Source organism: Homo sapiens, chromosome 14 (genome assembly GCF_000001405.40).
Source record: "Homo sapiens chromosome 14, GRCh38.p14 Primary Assembly".
Taxonomy (NCBI): Eukaryota; Metazoa; Chordata; class Mammalia; order Primates; family Hominidae; genus Homo; species Homo sapiens.
Genome location: NC_000014.9, coordinates 67,921,304 through 67,945,916, shown reverse-complemented (window position 1 = coordinate 67,945,916; position 24,613 = coordinate 67,921,304). Strand labels below are relative to the sequence as shown.

At 39.7% G+C, this 24,613-nt stretch overlaps 1 protein-coding gene across 12 annotated transcripts in view, besides 1 other annotated feature; it reads right to left on the bottom strand.

Moving 5' to 3' along the window:
- RAD51B (RAD51 paralog B) overlaps positions 1-24,613 on the bottom strand; it is an 863,318-nt gene that overhangs the window by 737,180 nt on the left and 101,525 nt on the right. The window lies entirely within an intron of this gene.
- Positions 16,498-17,497: an enhancer, noted in NCBI's record as "NANOG-H3K27ac-H3K4me1 hESC enhancer chr14:68395137-68396136 (GRCh37/hg19 assembly coordinates)". NCBI's record gives its function as "activates a minimal SCP1, AML or CMV promoter by ChIP-STARR-seq in primed H9 embryonic stem cells {active_cell/tissue: H9 hESC(primed)}" and the evidence as "EXISTENCE:reporter gene assay evidence [ECO:0000049][PMID:30033119]".

Genomic DNA, 24,613 nt, shown 5'->3' with positions numbered 1-24,613 from the left:
GAAACTCACTGAGAAATTTGTGCAGACTATGGACTTTCTTCCCAGAATAATTCTAAGTACATACACATAAAATTTTATATAATTTTAGACATTCCATACACTTACTGAAACCCAATCATGGACCTCAATTTAAAACTCTTGGTCTGGGCTGGGCATGGTAGCTCATGCCTGTAATCCCAGCACTTTGGGAGGCTGAGGCGGGTGGATCAACTGAGGTCAGGAGTTCGAAACCAGCCTGGCCAACATGACGAAACCCCATCTCTACTAAAAATACAAAAATTAGCTGGGCGTGGTGGCGTGTGCCTGTAATCCCAGCTACTCGGGAGGCTGAGGCACGAGAATCGCTTGAACCCGGGAGGAGAGATTGCGCCACTGCACTCCAGTCTGGGCGACAAAGCAACACTTCGTCACAAAAAACAAACAAACAAAAAACAACTCTTGGTCTGTTTTCTCACCAATCACATACCCATAAATATCATGAGAACTTGGTATTGTGTGAAAATAATAAAGTGAAGCTTTCTGAAGAAAAATCAATTCAAAGATTTTTGACAATTAATGTCCCAAGATGAAAGGGGTACTTGGCAATTTGGGGTATCACTAAGCTGGCTGTACTCTAAAAGATCTCACCAAATGGCACTAGAGAAGCCAATTAGAAGTTAACATGGTCTTAGGCTGTACACAAACCACATTAATCTCTCAGACTTCCACTGCTAACTAACACCTTCTTGCTTTAGATATTTTAATACCATTTAATCAGTGGAAAATTTTGACATTATAGTATAGCCAGATTTTCCTTACTCTTCCTGATTCTTATCTAGAAGACAGTTTAGTTACTCATTGTAGCCAAAGGAGGTCTTGCCTTTCCCTTGGCTACAGGGAGTACAACTAAAACAAATATTTTAATACAGTAATATATTCAAGGTAGGTATGATTCTTACTTTCTTTTTGGTGAAAGGGCTCTCTGGCTTATCCAACAATCACAATGATTCAAATTCATCTTCATGACCCACTCTCAATCCAGCAGATTTCAAAAAATGTCTGTGGGGTATCTAATAACTGTAAGGTCCATAAGGGCAGGGTCCAGGTCAGCTTTGGACACTATAGTATTTCCAGTGGTTAGCTTGCCTGGCACACAGTAAGTGCTCAAAAAATACAACTTTAATATGCTGGCGAAACTCTTGCAGCAACTACTAGTTCAACCACTAGGTATGTGAGCTTGGCAAGTTACTAAGTATCTCTGATATAGTTTATTTACCTAGAAAAGTGAATAATAAAATTCATACAATTAGTACTAAGATTAAATAAGATCAAGTACATAAACACACTACGGTAGTATCAAAAACACTATGTTACTCTTTAATGTAAACCTGTATTTTTAAGGCCTATTAAAATATAGCTGAATTTTAAAATATGACATTATAGTCATATTGATATGGTTCAAATTAACTTTACAACCACGTTTTTATGAAACAACAAAGGGCCAAAAAAGCTAGGAGCAAAAATATTAAAATACAGAGACAAAGACAGCTAAAACAAACAAACAAAACCCTCATAAATAAGGCAATGTTTTGAAAGAAAATAACTTCCTTATATATTTGTGGCTTAAAACAACTAATACTTTCCAAGTGACAAAGCTGGCACAAACATAGCAACAGGGAGATTTAGTTTTCCTAAAATTATTCTCCAGCTCTGTCAAAAAAAAAAAAAAAAAAAAATCTTTACTTCTTAGAGGCACGTACTCTAAGATGAAATTGTCTTGGTGGTACAAAAGAGCCCATTAAAATGTGCTTTAGTTTTCTTCCCACTCCATGCCCCCACTCCCCCTGGCTGTACTGTTTTCTTTAAAAACTAAGTCCTACAGCGCCATCTACTGTGTCTGTTCAGATCACATCATTTTTGCTGGTTTTATCCCAGAGTGCTGAAGAAATGAGAAATGTAGCAAATTCAGAATCCGTCACTTTATACAATATACTTAGATGTAAATACCTACACTATCTATATCTATACCTATATCTATATCTATATCTCCACCCACATGCTAGTATCTGAGCAACAATTTTACCCGCTTTCTTTCCACTTTCTTCTTAAGTAGGCCCTAACTCATTATAACCCACGTGTCACAATAGGAACCAAAATGTTTACCTCTATACATTAGAGGGGAGAAGTACAGTCATAATAATAACAAACTTTTATTGAGGGCTTACCATATGTCAAATAGTGTTCTGAGTACTTAATCAATATGCCACCATGCAAATAAAAGCAAGCATCTTGAGGAAAAGAGCTATGATTCACTGTTCTTTTAAAATAAATGAATGTCAACTCCAGAGCCAACCGTTAAAAATAACTTAATTAAATAAATGGATGGATGGATGGAGGGATGGGTGGAATAATAGATAGATGGATGGATATAGATGGCCAGCCCACAGCTCCTGTGATAGTGCCTATCGTATTTTTTATCCCACAGGGTCTTTTTCTTTACAAAAATGTAGGCTTTAGTCAGAAAAATTCAACACATTAGGGAAATCTCCAGTTAATTCAAAACCTCCTTCTTCCTCCCTAAGTGTATATTTAGGGAGCATAAAGAAAACATTTTAAAAAGGTCACTTATAAACATGGTTTGTCTCCAATATAATAAAATGTGTATTAGTACAAGCCCTGTAACTTACATATCTAAATAAGTGATGTTTGTGAAATCTATCAACCAAGAACTTAATCTAACACTATTAGTACACAAACATTTTTGCAATTTCTCATTGGTAATGTCCTTTAGAATCACTTTTGAAAGCAATAAAAGAAAATAAGTTTTACTACTTTATATTTCATTTAATATATTTAATATATTTAAATCTATTACTTAGTTTGACCACCCATCTTATTTATCACACTTGGCTTTAAGTGACAGTTGACTGTTTCAAAATTCAAAACAGCCTGCAAAATAAAGACCTGCCACCACAGAAAACTGACAAAAGAACGTACCAAGAAAGGAGCATGCATAAAATGGGTATATAATCTTCTATGACCATTTCGAGAGAAACAACACCTATTTAGATATACTACTGCTGACATTTAAAAAGAAATTCAGACATCATATTTTTAAGTCACTGAACTTTATAATTGCAACTATTCCCATAATAGTTTTCATTTGCTATATGTATAAATGTTCTTTGTCTTAAGTCTTCCTTTCATGAAACTATAGACTCCGTAATCTTCCTTTTGGAAGATTTGGCAGGCTTTGTAACTTCAACGTATTGACGTTACTCCTGCTACTTCACGTAAACCTTCACTTTAAGTTCAGTGTGTCTGCCACCATATTTCTCAATTCTTCTACTATTCCAAATACTCTGAAGAAGCTTCCCAGAAATCCTTGTTTGGATCAGCAAAAACAATTTGGTGTCATCAGCAGATTTCACCATTTCCTTCTGGAGTCATTAAAACACTAAACAAGCATGATCTTGGTATCAATCCTTAGGGTTCCTATCATTAACCTCTCTCTAGCTGAAGTCAAGCTATTCTCTGCTACATTGTGATTTCCATAATAGGACTAGGATATGTTTATTTGTTAGAAGTTTAAACATTGATGGATTTTTTTAATGAAAGTTGCAAAATGCATTACGAAAGTAAAGAGGAAAAAATCTCAAAAGGAAAGTTCAGAGAAATCAGCAAAGAGAAGCAGCTCCTAGTTAGTTGTCTCATCCAAGCACACTGCCTCATATTTAACTGATTCTTAAACCTCTACAGGATTTTAACCTTTCCCCTCCAATTACTTATTTCTGTTATAATTATATGAGAGACTTTATTAAACACACTTGAAAATTCTCTATGAATTATAACCAGCAGGTCCAACTACTTTATTAGCTTTTCCTCTCTTTACTACATTTAAAGAGAGAAAAGCAAACAGTCCTTACCCAGAAAGTAAAAAAGCAAACAGTTTTCTACCCAAACTGGTCTGTACTCTGAACAAGAGAAATCACTCTTTCTTTTATTCAAGTGCAAATCTGTTTGAAGCTTTCATTCTGCTTTCCCAGCCTGCTCTCTGCAGCTGCATAAAAGATGAGACATGGGAATGAAAGAAAACTAGGCTGGGGCCAAAAAGCAATACTGTCCATATGCAAACTCACTCAAAGAGCAGGAGTTTCTGTACATCCTTTCCCACTTTTTCCACTTTAGCAGACCCCTAGCCAAAAGGAGGAGGTACTGTGCTATATCTCTATGTCCAATCCTGTTTAAAACAACTTCTCATGTGAAATCAGGGGAAGGATAAGGTTACTAAACCCCCAGTCCTGACACAGAGCCCGAGGCATTCTCAGAGTCAACTTTAGCTCTAAGCTGGCTGTAATTAGGCAAGTTTAAGAGAGAAATAGGGACAGTCTCACAGGTCTCTTAGAATGCTTGTGGCAGAGGCATAGCAACAGTGAGCAGAATTCACTTTACCTATTTTACCCCATGCAAAATTAGAGCAAAATCCTCCCCCTAAGCCAAAAAGCAAAATCTTCCCCCTATGCCAAATCTGCAATAGACTTTCAGAATGTCTGGAAACCCATTAGTCTACATGCAAGGGTGTCAGGTAACCTTATAATCCCAGCATTCTCCTCAGGCCAGCAGTGAACCACACACAATTGAAAAAGTTCACCACCTCAAAAACAAACTCTGCTGGGATCAGAAGGGTATTCTCAAGGGTTTTGACTCAGATGTCATCATAACTCCGTGTTATTTTTAATGCTGTTTTTTTGGATTTTGCCTCACACAGAATTCCCAAGTTACAGAAGGACCATGAACAATGTCCAGATGTATAAAATGCAAAAATACTTCCCTCCTACTTGTGGATTCCAAGATAAACACCACAAGAAGCACATGTGACTAAACTAAGAGCTCATTCCAAATTAAATACTGCATCATGTGCACAGTTTAGGGCTTAAAAAACAAACCCCACAAATATTCTGCACGGTTCATAAGCCAGGCCTGGGCAAGCATATGACCACGTTGTAAGAAGGAAACATGAATTGGAGAGTAGAGGTAAAGGGTGAAAAAAGTCTGAGTCAAAACCTTTCCCAGAAAATTGGTGCTTTCAGCGAACATTTGTATAATATGGGACATAGATGAAAGAAGAAATTGTATTTTTCTGTGTTTTTTTTTTCCTACTGATACTATCATTTCTAAAACTGCCCAACAAATTGGGAAACTCTGCAAAGATTTCAAAATCCCCAGCCTAAGCCAAGCACAAACATCATTAAATACAGATACAAACACACACACTGAGGTAATGAGAACTTATATCTCTGACTGACCAGTCCAGACAGAATCCTTTGACATAATAAGCTGAGTTCTGGACAGAGTACATGGAACCTTATGGGACACAAACAGGAGAGTCAGGCAATGTGAAAAGACTTCTACACTATTGTTATTGTGTTTCCAAAAAAAGTAAAAAATAGATGGATAAAGTGGAAAGACAACAGAGAGATAGTTTGGCTAGCTGGGTGAGTTCAGTTTTTCTCCCACAACTTAACCTAAGCAAAAGCTTTTAAGAAATTCAGACTGGGAAGGCTGGGTGCGGTGGCTCACGCCTGTAATCCCAGCACTTTTGGGAGGCCAAGGCAGGTGGTGGATCACCTGAGGTCAGGAGTTCAAGACCAACCTGACCAACATGGCGAAACCCCATCTCTACTAAAAATACAAAAATTAGCCAGGTGCAGTGGCAGGCACCTGTGATCCCAGCTACTTGGGAGGCTGAGACACGAGAATAGCTTGAACCTGGGAGGCAGAGGTTGCAGTGAGCTGAGATCACGCCATTGCACTCCAGGCTGGGCAACAGAGTGAGATTCCATCTCAAAAAAAAAAAAAAAAAAAAAAAAAAAAAAAAAAAAATATATATATATATATATATATATATATATATGCATCTATCAAATGTTACAGTTTTATATATATACTTTTTATTTTTTTATATATATATAATGTATGTTATGAGGCATAATTACAGAATATATACCTAATGAACCCAGCACCTAATTTATGAATTAAAATATTTCCAATCTGCTATGGACTAAATGTTTGTGTCCTCCCAAAATTAATGTATTAAAACCCTAATCCCCAATGTAATGGTATTTAGACCTAGGGCCTTTAGGGAGGTAATTAGGGTTCGATTAAGTCTTGAAGCTGGAGTCCCTGTGATGGGAACAGCCATGTGAAGACATAATTAGGAAGAGGGCACCCAACCATGCTTCCACCCTGATCTCAGACTTCCAGCCTTCAGAACTGTGAGAAATAAATGTTTGTTATTTGAGCTACCTAATCTATGGTAATTTGCTACAGCAGCCCAAGCTAACTAAAAACACAATCCCAGTGAAGCTATACATGGGCCCCTACCGAAAGCCATCTACCTGCCTCCCTGCAATGATCATCACTATTCTGAATTGTGCATTTTTTTCACTCTTGCCTTTTTTTAAAGAAGTTCTTAACATAACTCTTGGAATTTTCTTTCTTAAAAGGAATCAAGCATTTCACTTACTACTGTCAATTTTCTATATACTATCTAGTTTATGCAAGGATCTATACAAAAGCATGCACAATTTGGCTTCCACCTTTTTAAAGCTCACATCCTAGAGTAAGATGACACATATTACATATTGGGTATCTACATGTATTTAAAATGAATTTGGTATTCCCTTTTTTGCTCCTGTTTGTATGTGTTTCCACATGGAGGGGGGCAGGGGCGGGGAAGAGTAAAGCCTTTATCTAATATATCAGAAAAAAATATCTGCCTGTATGTCTGTCTTCCCCCTAATATAAGTACCTCAAGATATGAAATTATTTCTTACTTGCTCTAATTTCCCGGTACCTAGCAGAGTGCTAAATGTCAAATGATTATTTTTCAACTAGTCTCTCAAATTAGAGCCCAGACACTTTAAATGTTTCACAGTCAGAGCTGGTCAACAACAACAACAAATATTGTTCTTTTGATCAGTATTTTTCTTACATAACAGATCTCTTCCTTTCTCAGGCCCAAGTTTACCAATTATCTCCCTAGATGGCAAATCAGTATAAGTCACTACTTCACTTCCTCAGCCACTAAATAAAAATCTTAGGTAGCAATGAAATTGTCAAGTGAGACCATTTTCTCAAGAGTCATACAGTGCTAAGGAGTCCGTCTGGGCAAGCACACTGTCACGCACACAAGTTTAATTCAATAGTATTTGAGCTATTCTCAACCACAGATGCCAATATGACATTGAGACATCAACTGTTTTCTACTGAAATACAGCATCATCTACAAAGCAAACTATACACAAAATGACTGAGAAGCCCCTACTATTTCACAGCAAGGAGTTTCACAACCACCTTAACATATCTTTATATTATGTATGGAACACAATTCTCTTGGGGGCTATGTTCTAAAGGATAGGCCTACGCCCTCAATTATGTCGCCATTATGCAATATGCTCATGATTACAAATTAGTCCCTCCACTTGAAGGAGCAATACTGACAATTACTGTCACTTCAAAATCGAAATTAAGTTGTATGGCTCCGTCAAAAGTATTATTTGTTAGAAAACTTTCCTGACTCATCTCTTGATTCTGCTCAATGCACAAGATTATCTAAAATCTCTCTCTGGGTGTGGAGAGGAACCAGGAGAGAAAGTGCCTGAAGAATTTAAGCCAGTCACAAGACATCAACATAAAGAATCTTTCTGAAGGGAGAACTGCATTGTTATTCCAGAAGGCTTAACAGTTACACTTTAGGAAGCAAAGCTTAGAGAACTATTCACATAAATGTTATTAGTCTGGAATTAGTTCTCACACTGTAAAAAATGAAAATTTAAAAACTGAAACACACTGGAGCACATGCCAGGCTTCTTTACAAAATCCACAGCTTTTCACATAATCCAGCTGAAAAGCCTCGGTCAAGAATCCATATGGATTTTGATAAGTCATTCTATAGAAAAACCTTGAGAAGGTAGACACCTTTCTCAGAAGGCCATCGGTGCACTATTTCAAACCCCTAATGCAAAAAAAGAAAAAAAAAAGTTACTTACCTGTGCCTGTAACTTGCCAGATATGCCCATTTCTTAATGTAACTCAGCTTTAAAGTCCACTTTTAAAATACCCTCACTATTACCATTGTATTTCAATATCAACCTGAAGCTGTGGTAAGGGGCTGAAGAAGGATTTCAAATGGAATACTGGGAGAGATGGACCAATGAGACAGACAAGTGGCCACAACCATCCCAGCGTGTTACTCTATGTTCATCAACACAGTCTACCTGCTCAATTCCTAATGGGGAGCACCTCCATTCATACTGTGTCAAAGACACACTTCATTTTCTCTACCTGCCTTCCCCTTACCACCTAAATATGAGTTTTTCTTGCCAATGGGTTACTCCCACTATACCTAGAGTAAAAGAAAGAAACAGCCTGCGGCACATGATGTTAATCAACTGAGAGGAGATTTCTCTGGTGGTGATTTGACAAAAGTAGAATTATCGTCATCTCTGCTAGAACCGGTTGGTTTTATTTCTAGCTATATCTCTAACAGTATATCTTACCTGAGACACCAAAGGAAACAACTATTCTTTTCTCACTACCCCAATCCCTATCATTTCTCTAACTAGCTTGTAACTGGGATATCACAAAGACAGGAAGAAGGTGTGTCATGTGCTGTAGGACATTATGTTTCACTCTGAGCAGCTTCTGTTCTTTTTTGGCTTCCCATAATTGTATTACATATGGATTTAGGGCTCAGCTTTGAATTTCAATAAAAGACAACTGTTATCCCCTTCATGGCACCCTACTGCAAATCCTTCTAAACTACTTTATTTCATTATGCTATAAATATTACATTTACATATATGTGTATATAACATATTTCTGCTACAAGTAAGACCATCAAGAAAGTAAAAGGACAGAATGGGAGAAAATATTTGAAAATCAAATATCTATTAAGGGTCTTGTATCCAACATATAAAATGAGCACTTTAAAATACAATAATAAAAAGACAACCCAATTACAACTGGGCAAGAGATTTAAATAGACTTTCTCCAAAAGAGATATACAAATGGTCAATAAACACTTGAAAATTCTCAACATCATCAGCCATTAGAAAATGCAAACAAAAACCACAATGACATAACCACTTCACAAGCACTACAAGGATTATTGTAATTTTTAAGAAAAAGATGACAAGTATTAGTGAGGATGTGGAGAAACTGGAACCCTAGCTCGCTGCTGGTAGGACTTTGGAAAAGTGGCTTCACAGTTCCTCAAATTATTAAACACAGAGCTGCCATATGATCCAGCAATTCTACTCCTGGGGATATAACCAAGAGAAATAAAAACATATGTCCAAACAAAAGCTTGTACATGGATGCTTATTACTGCATTATTCATAATACCCAAAATGTGAAAATAAACCAAATGTCCATCAACTGATAAATGGATAAACAAAATGAGTTCTATCTATACAACAGTATATTATTTGGCAATGAAAAGGAATGAAGAATACTGATAACATGCTGCAACACTAATTTTGAAAACTTTATGCTATATGAAAGAAGCCAGTCACAAAAGAACACACATTATATGACTCCACTTTCATGAAATGTCCATAACAGGCAAATCTATAGAGATAGCAAATAGAGATTTCCAAGGGCTTGGGGAAGGTGGAAATGCAGAGTGAGAGAGTGGCTGCTACTGGGTACAGGGTTTCTTCTTGGGGTGGTGAAATGTTTTGGAATTAGACTGTGGTGATCGTTGCACAATCTGTCAATATGCTAAAAAAAGAACCCTATATTGTGTACCTTAAAAGGGTGAATTGTATGGTATGTAAATTATATCTCAAAAAGCTGTTAAAATTTTTGTTTTTTGAAGGCTTTTTATAATGTGTCCTTTATAAGATAGACCTTTCTAAAAAGGTCTATTAATAAAATGACATCTATTTTCTAATATATATTCTTGAATATGAAAGTTCTGGCATTCAACAAACAGACGTTGGCCTACTGACATTATCCTCTGGTATAATAGAATTCCGCCATAGTGAAATCCCTCTCTGCCCACCTTTTACTACTCTACTTGACCTTGTCTCAGTTCTCATACTCATCTTTATAAGATGAAGTCCTCGGCAGGCCCTAGATCCTGAAGGAGCAAATAATAGATGTCATCAGTGCCTATTATTTTAGAAAAAAGAAACAAGAAGACTGCAGCTGGGCTACTTATCTAAGACAACGCAACAGAATCCACTTTAAAATTTAAAAGAGTTGGCCAGGGGCAGTGGCTCACACTTCTAATCCCAACACTTTGGGAGGCCAAAGCAGGAGGATCCCTTGAGGCCAGGGATTTATAACTAGCCTGGGCAACACAGCAAGATCCCCATCTCTACAAAAAAATTTTAAAATCAGCATGGCCTGATGGTATGTGCCTGTAGTCCTAGCTACATGGGATGCTGAGGCAGGAAAATCACCCAACCCCAGGAGGTGAAAGCTGCAGTGAGCTATAATCGAGCCATTGAACTCCCATTTGGGCAAGAGAGCAAGACTGTCTCTGAAAAAAAAACTTTTTTAAGAGTTGTATTTGTAGAATTGGCACTACAAATCCATCTCTAGCATACAACTGGTATATCTTCTGGTTATCTTTGAAAGTGCACCATATCTTACACTCAAAGTAATTGCCTAATCATCCTCACATATGTAAAAAAAATCTTAAAGGATGGTCTTTCTGGCATATCCAAAAATTAACTCTCTCCAAAAGGATTCCTATACAAATTTATCTTATACCAAGTACACTATAATTAGTCAGATTTATTCATTCATTTAACCAAAATTTATTGAGCACTCACCACCTGCTAAACACTGAAACTACATAAATAAATTAAATTAGAAACAGACCCTACCATAAAAGAATTCATCACTGTGGAGAAACACAAATGCCTCGTAAACAGGCAATATGATAGTGTGCTATATAGCAGAGGAGAGTATGGTGCTGTCAGGAAAGCATTCAAAGTCAGAAGCCTAAATTCTACAAAGAGCCAGGAAGGCTGTAGACTATAACCAGGAGACACCTTGCTGAGGTTTCTCATCTGATCCTACCATTCGTTCAACGTATGGACATTCCCCCCCATCAATAAGAGTCAGGGATGGAACAACATGCTCCAGATTCCTCAATAATATACACTCCCTGCCCTCAAGGGGCTAATTTTCAAAGTATGTCAACTAGAGTACTCCAGAAACTCTTTTCTCTGATAGGGGAATGAAATAGAGAATACGAAACAAATAAAACTAAAAATAAAAGGTATTATTTCATGTATTATTTAACATACTCTACAGGAAGGGGGTCAAGATTTTAAGTTGAGATATTTTAAACTCCCTTTAGCTATCAACTCTCTGAGGGTAGAAACAGCATCTCGTATCCTCAGCCAGAATTCCTAATTCCCATTAAATACGTGTCAAATAAATAAAGAAATGAAACAATGGTAAGCAACAAATGCCATAAATACCACTTTCCTGAGCTAATTACTGATGGCATTTTACTACTTCCTTCACAGTACGCCTGTTTACTTTCTCCTTTTCTCTTCTCTTGCCCTCCCACTTCTTTCCTCTCTTTTTATCTTTATCTCTTCCTTTCTCTCCTATTTGAAATCTGCATCTTAAAGACTGCCACCAGCTGCTCTCACAGGCAATTGCTTTGCTAAGTAGGCCACAAGGATCCTAGTGAGCAATGGAGTATTCACAGTTTTCTAATTAAAAGATGCCACCTAGTGGTTACAGTTCCCTTCATCCTGATTGTACCAGGAAACATGAAAGTTAAGCAGTATTAACAAATTCCAGGTCTTCTGTGGTGCCAGCTTGGTCTAACGGCAGCATCAGATACAATGAACCCATTTCCTTTCACATCTACAACCAAGCTGTCAGAAGTAACTGATGTTGATAGTCTACGAAGCTTTGTAGTCAGGTGTATATTGACTTTATTTATTGCCCTAAAGTAGACAAATTTGTTACTTCAATTCTGGTAGAATTAAAGGTATAGGCATTGCCTGACTCAGCAGGAGCATAGAGGTAGCTTCTGCTCTTCCTGAACTCCTCAGCAGAGATGTATTCAAGGTGGCTAACTAGAGAGATTGGACACTCACCCTCTCCAGAAAGAACCAAAATTACTAATATATAACCAAAATAATCACACCTATAATAGAACATCTAGAAGAGAACACTAGTGTCCAACAGGATCTAGTCACAGGAAACACCTGAGGCAAAGAAGGAGAAGGAAGCAAGTGACCAACTCAGCCAAGATCAGCTATGAGCCCCAAGGGACTCATTATCATAGGGAAGGGTAAGTGAGAGAACCTTAACAATCCATGTCCCCACTGTGGACTGCAGCAATCCAAACCATGGGAGAGCTCCTCTACCCACACAAACCCTGATACTAGCAAGGGTGGTGATCTGGAGACCCACAAGGGCATTGCACCAGACAAGGAACTCATGCTGGGTCAGTCACACCCCCAAGGCCTAAGCTGCTACTGCAGAGCACTACTGTGAGAGCACAGCTGTCATAGGACTGCATCCTGACCTGGAAATCAGAGGCCCCATATCTCCACATTCTGGGATCTCCCACTAACAACCCCAGTGTTGACTCAAATGGCTACAGCAGCATAGCACTGGCTGGACCCAAAGGTGCTCCAGGGTCCCCAGTATTCTAGCCCATGGAAAACACTACTCCTCAGGGAATGGTGCAGTGTACCAAAAAGTTACAGTGTACCAAAGGTGCATTCTACCGGAAAGGCAGCACAAATTCTGTGCTCAAGCTCACAAGTGGAAAGATCTCCTCCCCTTCTCTGCATATTGCCATAGCAGTAGCTGTCACTAGGAACCCAGATGGGTAAGCATAATAGCTGTCTGGAGCTGGAAGCAGTGACCCTGCCTGCACCAATGGAGTGGTCTCTGTGCTCAGGTTTACACATATACAACAGGAGCCTCTCTCCTCCTCTGCACACCACTACAGCCGCTGCCACTGCTGCTATTGCCAGGGGCCAGGGTGGACAAGCCGGAGGAGCTGCCTGTCTGGGGCTGTAAGTAGTAACTGTGCCCCCACTGGTGGTGTGGCCTCCATGCTTAGACTCATACGTGAACATGGGGCCCCTCCCCTCCTTGGCATAGCAGTACAGTACTGTTGCTGCCAAGAGTGGACAAGTCTAAGAGCTGTGTGTCTGGGGCTGTGGATAGTGACCCTGCATCACAGCCACCATCAACATTAGCACATACTGCTTGGGACCCAGAGGGTCTTCTCCTCACTGCTGCTGCCACTACCCACACCATACCAAATTCCCAGGGACATGAGAACTTGCTCACCTGCCCACCCCACCTCTGCCACCACCACCTCAGCATCTGAGCAAGCCACCTGGGGAGCCAAGAATTGAACCTCTTGGTCCCACTAAAACTAGTGCCACTGCACACTGTGCTGGGGCCTAAGAACAAGTATGATCAGCCCACCGCTACCACCAATAGGGCCCAAAAAGTGGCCTGCCTAGCATCCCTGTCCCACCAAACTTCACTATAAGCTCCACTAATAACCACACCATAAACCATGGAGGAAATCACAGATAACACAGATATTGTTTATAGCTAAAGAAATAATACAGAGACTACACAACTGAATGCACCCAGAATCAAAGCCAAAGAGCCCACCCAACTAGCACCATTGATACATCTCCTATGAAAGAAAATCCAAAAGCAGGAGCTAAACATTGGGTACACATGGACATAAAGATGGGAACAACAGATGCTGGAAAATACATGAGGTAGGAGGGAGGGAGGAAGACAAAGATTGAAAACTACTTATTGAATACTGTGCTCACTTCCTGGGTGACATGTTCAATTGTACTCCAAACTCCAGCATCACATAATATAACTTTGTAACAAACCTGAACATGTACCCCTAGAATCTAAAACAAAAGTTGAAGAAAAGTTAAAAATAAAAAAATAAAAAATTTGAAGAAGCAACTATTATACCAGGTGTGCAGATGTCAACACAAGGATATAGAAAACATGAAAAAGCAAAGAACTATGACACCTCCAAAGGAACATAATAATTCTCCAGCAACACATCCCAATAAAAAGAAATTCAAGAAATGCTGGGCCGGGCACTGTGATTCACGCCTATAATCCCAGCACTTTGGGAGGCCAAGGCAGATGGATCACCTGAGGTCAAGAGGTCGAGACCAGCCTGGCCAACATGGTGAAACCCATCTCTACTAAAAATACAAAAAATTAGCCAGGCGTGGTGGTGGGCACCTGTAATCCCAGCTACTCAGGAGGCTGAGGCAGGAGAATTGCTTGAACCCGGGAGGCAGAGGTTGCAGTGAGCTGAGGTTGTGCCATTGCCCTCCAGCCTGGGCAACAAGAGCAAAACTCTGTCTCAAAAAAAAAAAAAAAAAAAGAAATCCCAGAAAAAGAATTCAAAATTATGATACTAAAGAAGCCCAATGAGATACAAGAGAATTTCAAAAAACAATACAAAGAAATCAGAAAAACAATTCAGGAAATAAAGGAGCAGTTTACCACAGTGATAGAATAAAAAAGAAACAAACCAAAATTTTGGAACTGAAGAAGTCCTTGAAAAAATACAAAGTACACTCAAAAGCATCAACAATAGACTAAACCAAGCAAAAGAAAGAGTCTCAGAACCTGAAGATGGGCCTTTTGAAATAACCCAGCCAGGCAGGACGCGGTGGCTCACGCCTGTAATCCCAGCACTTTGGGAGGCCAAGGCAGGCGGATCACGAGGTCAGGCGATTGAGACCATCCTGGCTAACACGGTGAAACCCTGTCTCTAATAAAAATACAAAAAAATTAGCCAGGCGTGGTGGCAGGCTCCTGTAGTCCCAGCTACTTGGGAGGCTGAGGCAGGAGAATGGCATGAATGCAGGCGGCGGAGCTTGCAGTGAGCTGAGATCGCACCACTGCACTCCAACCTGGGCAACAGAGCGAGACTCCGTCTCAAAAAAAAGAAAAAAAAAAAAGAAATAACCCAGGCAGACCAAAAAAAAAATTGAATAAAGAATAAAAAAGAATGAACAAAGTCGTCATGATATATGGGAAACCATAAAGCAATCAAATATATAAATTATCAGTATCCTCAAAGGGAAACAGAGAACAAAAATGCTCAAAAACCTATTTAATGAAATACTAGATGAAATTTTCCCAAGTCTACCAAGAGATTTAGACATCCAGGTACAGGAAGACCAGTGATCCAATGCGAAAGGTCTTCTCCATGACACATTGTATTCAAGCTGCATAAAGTCAATGACAAGGAGAAAAGTCTTAAAGCAGCAAGAGGAAAATGTCTAGTCACCTACAAAGGAGCCTACATCAACAGGAGACTTCTCAGCAAAAACCTCACAGGCTAGGAGAGAATGGGGTTATATATTCAAAGTGCCAAAAGAAAAAAACTGCCACCCAAGGATACTATATCCAGCAAAATTATCCTTCATAAATAAAGAAGAAATAAAGTCTTTTCTAAGCAAGCAAAAGCAGATGAAATTCATCACCACTAGACTAGCTCTTCAAGAAATGCTCAAGGGAGTGGAAAAAAAAAACACACACACACACAAAGTATACACACAAAAATATAAAACTAACTGGTAAAGCAATACACAAGTGAAAAAGCCAAAAAATTCAAGTGATACCACCATAGAAAACCAGCAAACAATTAACAATATGAAGGAACAAAACCTCAATAATAACCTTGAATATTAATGGATTAAATTCTCCACTTAAAAGATACAGACTCTCTGAATTGATTTAAAAATGATCTAACTATATGCTGCCTACAATCAGTGCACTTTACCTGTGAAGACACATATAGACTCAAAGTAAATAAATGAAAAAAGATATTCCACACAAACGGAAACCAAAAGTGAGCAGAAATACCTACACTTATATCAGATAAAACAGACATTAAGTCAAAAATAATAATAAAAGACAAAGAAGCTGGGCACGATGGCTCCTGCCTGTAATCCCAGCTACTCAGAAGGCAGAGGCGGGAGGATCACTTGAGGCCAGGAGCTCAAGACTAGCCTAGAAAACATATTGAGACCCCATTTCTTAAAAAAAACAAAAAAACACAAAAAAAAAAGACACAGAAAGACAAGGTCATTATATAATGATAAAGGGATCAATCCAGCAAGAGGATATGCATAAAGCAAGTATTACTAGATCTAAAGAAAAAGACAGGCTCTAATACAATAATAGTGGGGTACTTCAACATCCCAATCTCAGCATTTAAGAGATCATCTAGACAGAAAATAAAGAAACATCAGACTTAAACGGGACTTTAGACCAAATGGACCTAACAGACATGTACAGAAAATGTTATCTAACATCTGTAGAATATACATTTTTCTCATCTGCACATAGAAAATTCTCCAGGATTTACCATATGTTAGGCTATAAAACTAATCTTTCCAAAGCTAAAATCATATCAAGTATCTTAGATCACAATGGAATAAAACTAGAAATCAATGCCAAGAGGAACTCTGAAAACTATACAAATACATGGAAATTAAACAACATGCTCCTGAGTGACCACTGGGTCAATGAAAGAATCAAGATAAAAAATTTTTTTAATTTCTTGAAACAAAGAAAATGGAAACACAACATACCAAAACCTGTGGGACATAGCAAAAGTATGTTAAGAGGGGAGTTTATAGCAATAAACACCTAAATCAGAAAAACAGAAAGATTTCAAATGAACAATCTAACCATGCACCTCAAAAAACTAAAAAGCAAGAACAAAGAAAACCAAAAATTAGCAGAAGAAAAGAAATAATAAAGATCAGAGCAGAACTAAATGAAATAGAGACTAAAAATACAATACAAAACGTTGATCATTGGAAAAGATAAACAAAATTGATAAACCGCTACCTTGACTAACCGAAAAAAGAAGAGACGTCCCAAATAAACAAACTCAGAAATGAAAAAGGAGACATTGCAGCTGACACCAGAAGTACAAAAGATCATCAGAGACTATTATGAATTATATGCTAGCAAAGTGAAAAACCTAGAGAAAATGGAGAAATTCCTGGAAACACATTAATATAGGAGTTATTAAGAAATAATTTTTAGGCAGGTAGAAAGGGTAAAGGTTCTCGGTGGAAATTTTCCTGTAAGAAGCAACCCCCAAACCATTTCTTTTCTAACAGAAAAGGCGGCTTAAAGACGGCAAGCTTTGATATGCAAATTCTGGCGATTAGAAACTAGGTCCACCCAACATGGCCAACATGGCGATTGCTGCCCTCTTCTCCTTGTCACCACAAGTACCAAGTGTCATGGCCGCCTCCAGATAACTCACACGTGTTCAGGACATCATGGTGACCCGCATTTTCATATTAAAGGACGAAGGTGGGAGGGCCAGGTTTTTCACGGGCCACATGAATGACACATCTGGTAAAACCAATCCCTGGGCTGTATGCAAATCAGACACCGCCTCCTCCAGCCTGCTAATATAACTAACTACTTTGCCACCGCACACATGGTTTCTCTCTCAGAGCCCCCCTCCCTCTGTCTCTGTATGGGGGAGCTTCTTCCTTCTTTCTTGCCTATTAAACTCTCCGCTCCTTAAAATCACTCCACATGTGTCCATGTCATTTTATCTAAATCAGCGCAAGACCAAGGACACTGGTGTTCCTCCATTCATTGGAGCCATATCAATACAATCCAACAAGATTGAATCAGGAAAAATAGAAAACCTGAACATAATGAGTATCAAGATTGAACCAGGAACAAAAAGTCTCTCAAGAAAAAAAGCCCAGTACTGAATAAAGTCACTGCTGAATTCTACCAAATGTATAAAGAAAAACTCATATCAGTCCTCCTCAAGCTATTCCAAAAAGTTAAGAGAAGGAAATTCTCCCTAACTCATTCTATGAGGCCAGCATTACCCTGATACCAAAACCAGACAAAGCTACAACAAAAAAAATACAGACCAATAACCCTGATGAAGATAAATGGAAAAGTCTTCAACAAAATACTACCAAACTAGATCCAACAGCACACCCAAAAGATAACATACCATGATCAAGTGGGATTCATTTTTTCCCAGAAATAGACAAAAAATCCTAAAATTTGTATGGAACCATAAAAGACACACACATTATATATGTGTATATATATAATATATACACACACACAATGAATATATTATATAATACACACACACACACACACACACACACATACAATGAAATACTATTCAGCCATAAAAAAGAATGAAATCATGTCATTTGAAGTGACATGGATGGAATTGGACGTCATTATGTTACGCAAAATAAGCCCAGCACAGAAAGACAAATACCACACGTTCTCATTCACATGTGGGAGCTAAAAAACTTCATCTCATGGACATAGAGAATAGATCAACAGATAACCAGAGACTCGGAAGGGTGGTTCAAGGGGAGAGGACAGGAGAAGTTGGTTGTGGGTACAAACACATAGTTAGATAGAAGAAACAAGATCTAATGTTTGATAGCAGACCACAGTGACTACACTTAGTAACAATATTATGTATATGTCAGAGTAACTAGAAGAGAGGACTTGAAATGACACCACATAAAAATGATAAGCACTCATGATGATGGAGACTTGATCATTACACATTCTATGCATGCAGCAAACTCTCACATGAACCCCATAAATATATAAAATATGACAATTAAAGAGAAAAAAACAAATATCCATATCCAAGGTATATAAGGTGTCCTATTTAAATGAGTAGCTTTCATTTAAAGTCAACAGTATATCTTATAAATAAGATTCAAGAATTATTCTACCCTGAAATACATTCATGGATATGAACCATAGTGATCTTGAGCACTGCTTAAATAACAGGAATGGGATGACTCATAGGAAATAATATCACAGTATAAAATACTTTGTAACATATCATTGGCTAAAATCTATGAGTTACTGAAGGTTTTCACAATCCATACTTACTATTATCCCTGACCTCAGGATCTGTAAATTGTCCAGTGAGCTATATAAACTGAGATTCTTTGCCCAGTGTTAAGAAAACATATCTCCGCCAGGCGTGGTGGCTCACGTCTGTAATTCCAGCACTCTGGGAGGCCGAGGCAGGCAGATCACAAAGTTGGGAGTTCGAGACCAGCCTGGCCAACATGATGAAACCCCACCCCTACTAAAAACACAAAAATTAGCTGGGTGTGGTGGCGCACGCCTGTTGTCCCAGCTACTTGGGAGGCTGAGGCAGGAGAATCGCTTGAACCCAGGAGGCGGAGGCTGCAGTGAGCCAAGATCACACCACTGCACTCCAGTGTGGCGACAGACCAAGACTCAGTCTCAAAAAAAAAAAAAAAAAAAAAAAAGGAAACATATCCCTTCAACACTGGCATGATCTGTCTATTTTAAAAGAGAAAAAAGGACTTGTTGAATGGCTTTGACAAAAATGTTGACAGTGACATGAGCAATAAGGTCCAGGCTGAGGTGGTCTCAGATAAAGATGACGAACTTGTTAACTGGAGTAAAGGTGACTCTTGCTATGTTTTAGCAAACAGACTGGCAGCATTTTGCCCCTGCCCTAGAGATTTGTGGAACTTTGAACTTAAGAGAGATGATTTTGGGTATCTGGTGTAAAAAATTTCTAAGCAGCAAAGTATTCAAGAGGTGACTTGGGTGCTGTTAAAGGCATTCAGTTTTATAAGGGAAGCAGAATATAAAAGTTTAGAAAATGTGCAGCCTGGCAATGCGATAGAAAAGAAAATCCATTTTCTGAGGAGAAATCCAAGCTGGCTGCAGAAAGTTGCATAAGTAATAAGGGGCCAAATGTTAATCCCCAAGACAATGGAAAAAATGTCTCTAAGGCATGTCAGAGGTCTTCATGGGAGCCCCTCCTACCGCAGGCCAGGAGGCCTAGGAGGAAAAAGTGGTTTCATGGGCTGGGCCCAGGGTCCCTGTGCTGTGTGCGGCCCAGGCTGTGTGCAGCCCAGGGTCTTGGTGCCCTGCATTCCAGCCACTCCAGCCATGGCTGAAAGGAGCCAATGAGAGATCAAGCCAAGGCTTCAGAGGGTGCAAGCCGCAAGCCTTGGCAGCTTCCATGCAGTGTTAAGCCTGCCAGTGCACAGAAGTCAAGAATTGGGGTTTGGGAACCTCCGCCTAGATTTCAGAAGATGTTTGGAAACATCTGGATGCCCAGGCAGAAGTTTGATGCAGGGGTAGGACTCTTATGGAGAAGAACCTCTGCAGAAAGGAAATGTGGAGTCAGAGCCCCCATACAGAGTCCCTACTGGGGAGCAGAGCCTAGTGTAGCTGTGAGAAGATGGCCACCATCCTCCAGACCCCAGAATGGTAGATCCAGGTCAAGCACAGTAGCTCATGCCTGTAATCCCAGCACTTTGGGAGGCTGAGGCAGGCAGATCACAAGGTCAGGAGTTCGAGACCAACCTGGCCAATATGGTGAAACCCCGTCTCTACTAAAAATACAAAAATTAGCCAGACGTGGTGGCAGGCACCTGTAGTCCCGGCTACTCGGGAGGCTGAGGCAGGAGAATTGCTTGAACTCAGGAGGCAGAGGGTACAGTGAGCCGAGATCACACGCCACTGCACTCCAGCCTGGTGACAGAGCGAGACTCTGTCTCAAAAAAAAAAGAAGAATGGTAAATCCACCAACAGCTTGCACCATTCACCTAGAAAAGCTGCAGACACTCAATGCCAGCCCATGAAGGCAGCTAGGAGGGGGGCTGTACCCTGCAAAGCCACAGAGGCATAGCTGCCCAAGACCATGGGAACCCACTTCTTGCATCAGCATGACCTGGATGTCAGATATGGAGTCAAAGGAGATCATTTTGGAGCTTTAAGATTTGACTGCCCTGCTTGATTTTTGACTTGCATGGGGCCTGGAGCCCCTTTGTTTTGGCCAATTTCTCCCATTTGGAATGGCTGTATTTACCCAATGCCTGTATCCCACTGTATGTAGGAAGTAACTAACTTGCTTTTGATTTTACAGGCTCACAGGCGGAAGGGACTGGCCTTGTCTCTGATGAGACGCTGGACTGTGAACTTTTGAGTTAATGCTGAAATGAGTTGAGACTTTGGGGGACTTTTGGGAAGGCATGATTGGTTTTGAAATGTGAGGATATGAGATTTGGGAGGCTCCAGGGGTGGAATGATACAGTTTTGCTGTGTCCCCACCAAATTTCATCTTGAATTCCCACGTGTTGTGACAGAGACCCAGTGGGAGGTGACTGAATTACAGGGGTGGATATTTCCTGTGCTGTTCTCATGATAGTGAATGAGTCTCACGAGATCTGATGGTTTTAAGAACGGGAGTTTCTCTGCACAAAGTCTTTGCCTGCTGCCATTCCATGTAAGACATGACTTGCTCTTCCTTGCCTTCTGCCATGATTGTGCGGCTTCCCCAGCCATGTGGAACTATAAGTCCAATTAAACCTCTTTATTTTGTAAATTGCCCAGTCTCGGGTATCTCTTTACCAGCAGCGTAAAAATGGACTAAGACACACTTTATACAAAAATCAGGTCAAAATGGATCAAAGACTTAAATCTAAGACCTGAACATAAAAATTCTAGCAGATAACATTGGAAAACCCCTTCTAGACATTGGCTTAAGCAAAGTTTTCATGACCAAGAACCCAAAAATAAACGCAACTAAAACAAGGATAAATAGATGGGACGTAATTAAACTAAAAAGCCTCTGCACAGCAAAAGAAATAATCAGCAGAGTGAACAGACAACCCATAAAATAGGAGAAAATATTAGCAAACTATGCATCCGACAAAGGACTAATATCCAGAATCTACAAGGAAATCAAACAAATCAGCAAGAAAAAAACAAATAATCCCATCAAAAAAGTGGGCTAAAGACATGAATAAGCAATTCTCAAAAGAAGATATACAAATGGCCGACAAGCATATGAAAAAATGCTCAACATCACTAATAATCAGGGAAATGCAAATCCAAACCACAATGTGATACCACCTTACTCCTGCAAGAATGGCCATAATTTAAAAATCAAAGTATAATAGATATTGGCATGAATATGGTGAAAAGGGAACACTTTTACACGCTGGTGCAAATGTAAACTAGTACAACCTCTATGGAAAACAATGTGGAGATTCCTTAAAGAACTAAAAGTAGATCTACCATTTGATCCAGCAATCCCACTACTGGGTATCTAACCAGAGGAAAAGAAGTCATTACATGAAAAAGACACTTACACACACGTTTACAGCAGCACAATTTGCAATTGCAAAAATATGAAACCAGCCCAAATGCCCATCAATAACGAGTGGATAAAGAAAATGTGATATACTGCTGGTCGCAGTGGCTCATGCCTGTAATCCCAGCAATTTGGGAGGCTGAGGTGGGCGGATCACCTGAGGTCGGGAGTTCAAGACCAGCCTGAACAACATGGAGAAACCCCGTCTCTACTAAAAATACAAAATTAGCCAGGCGTGGTGGCACATGACTGTAATCCCAGCTACTTGGGAGGCTGAGGCAGGAGAATTCCTTGAACCCGGGAGGCAGAGGTTGTGGTAAGCCGAGATCGCACCATTGCATTCCAGCCTGGGCAACAAGAGTGAAACTCCATCTCAAAAAAAAAAAAAAAAAAGAAAAAGAAAAAGAAAGAAAGAAATTGTGATATATATATATACACACACACACACCCCATACACACTGTGGAATACTACTCAGCTGTAAAAACAAATGAAACAATGGCATTCACAGCAACCTAGATGGAACTGGAGACCGTTACTCTAAGCAAAGTAACTCAGGAATGGAAAACCAAACGTTGTATGTTCTTACTTACAGGTGGGAGCTAAGCTATGAGGACTCAGAGGCATAAGAATGATAAAATGAACTGTGGGGACTTAAGGGGAAGGGCAGGAGGCAGGTGAGGTAAAAAAGACCACATATTACGGCTGGGCGCAGTGGCCCATGCCTGTAATCCCAGCACTTTGAGAGGCTGAGGTAGGTGGATCACCTGAGGTCAGGAGCTTGAGACCAGCCTGCCAACATGGCGAAACCTCGTCTCTACTAAAAATACAAAAATTAGCCAGGCGTGGTGGCAGGCGCCTATAATCCCAGCTACTTGGGAGGCTGAGGCAGGAGAATCGCTTGAACCCGGGAGGTGGAGGTTGTAGTGAGCCCAGATCATGCCACTGCACTCCAGGCCGCGCGACAGAGCAAGACTCTATCTCAAAAAGAAAAAAAAAAAAAAAAGACTACATATTGGGTACAGTGTACACTGCTTGGGTGATGGGTGCACCAAAATCTCAGAAATAACCACTAAGGAACTTATCCATGTAACCAAACACCACCTCTTCCTGAAAAACCTATTGAAATTTAAAAAAAAAAAAAAATTAAGTACATACTATCTGCAACAACAACAACAAAAAGAAAGGTATAATTCCATTGAGATCTTTTACTTAAATGTCTCTTTAAACATTAGAAAATAAAAACCTGTTAGGTTTTCTTCTACCTGCAATAATATTTCCTAAACTTACCTATTCATAATCTAACAAGATGTTAAGGGGTATTTTTCCACTTTTTCCAGAATCAGTAACTAGGGCCCAAAGCTGACAGCAAGAGGCAATAAAGCCCAAATCTAAGGGAGAACACCAACAATTAGGTTCAGATATCTCCCCCAAGGTTTGCTGAGAAGTAACAAACTCACTGGTGCATTCAACCAACTCTACCAAAGAGAGAACTAAGAGAAGGCAAGGGAGAGCTTAGGAGTCTGGCACCACGAAGGGTCATTCATTAAGTTGGCACTTCAAAATAATTGGTCATACAGATTGCAAGGTGAAGATATCTGCAAGAAGGACACACTGGCAACTTGATCCAAAGCTGGACGCTTGCTGAGCTGCAGAAACTGAAAGCACCTGAACACAGAAATATATGAAGCTAATTATCTGGAGATTTCTGAAAGCAAAGCCTATCCTGGTAGTCAGAGCACACGGCAGGAACTGACCACGGAGGGGATGCCATCCCATCGCAGAGCACACTAACACACACACACCCATAAACACTCAAACAGGGGCCACGCTAATTCACCCAATGCACACATCTTTGGGACAGGGGAGGAAACTGAAGTACCAGGAGAAAACCCATGCAAACATGGGGAGAATGTGCAAATTCCACAGAGAGAGTGGCACCAGTTGGGAACTGGGATTTTTGTTTTTTGTTTTTTCAGTCATCAATGTTATACCAAAACAACATTATTTGAGGACCTGCTGTAATTCCCTAAATTTTATCCTGGCCTAGACTGTTTAGTAACCACAAAATGTGTGTGTGTGTGTGTGTGTGTGTGTGTGTGTGTGTGTGTGTGTGTGTGTGTGTGATGTGCACATATGTACATGCACATAGGAAATTTGTGGGTTATGTCCTTGCTTTCATTAATACATGCCAAAGGAAAGTCTCACATCAACTAGAACATTTGAGGGAAAAATATTTGCTTATACCCTAATAGCTTGTACTTGTTCAATAAATTGGTTACAATAATAATTACCAGAGCTCTTGTTAAAAATATAGATTCCACCAGGCACAGTGGCTCATGCCTGTAATCTCAGCTACTCTGGAGGCTGAGGCAGGAGGATCACTTGAG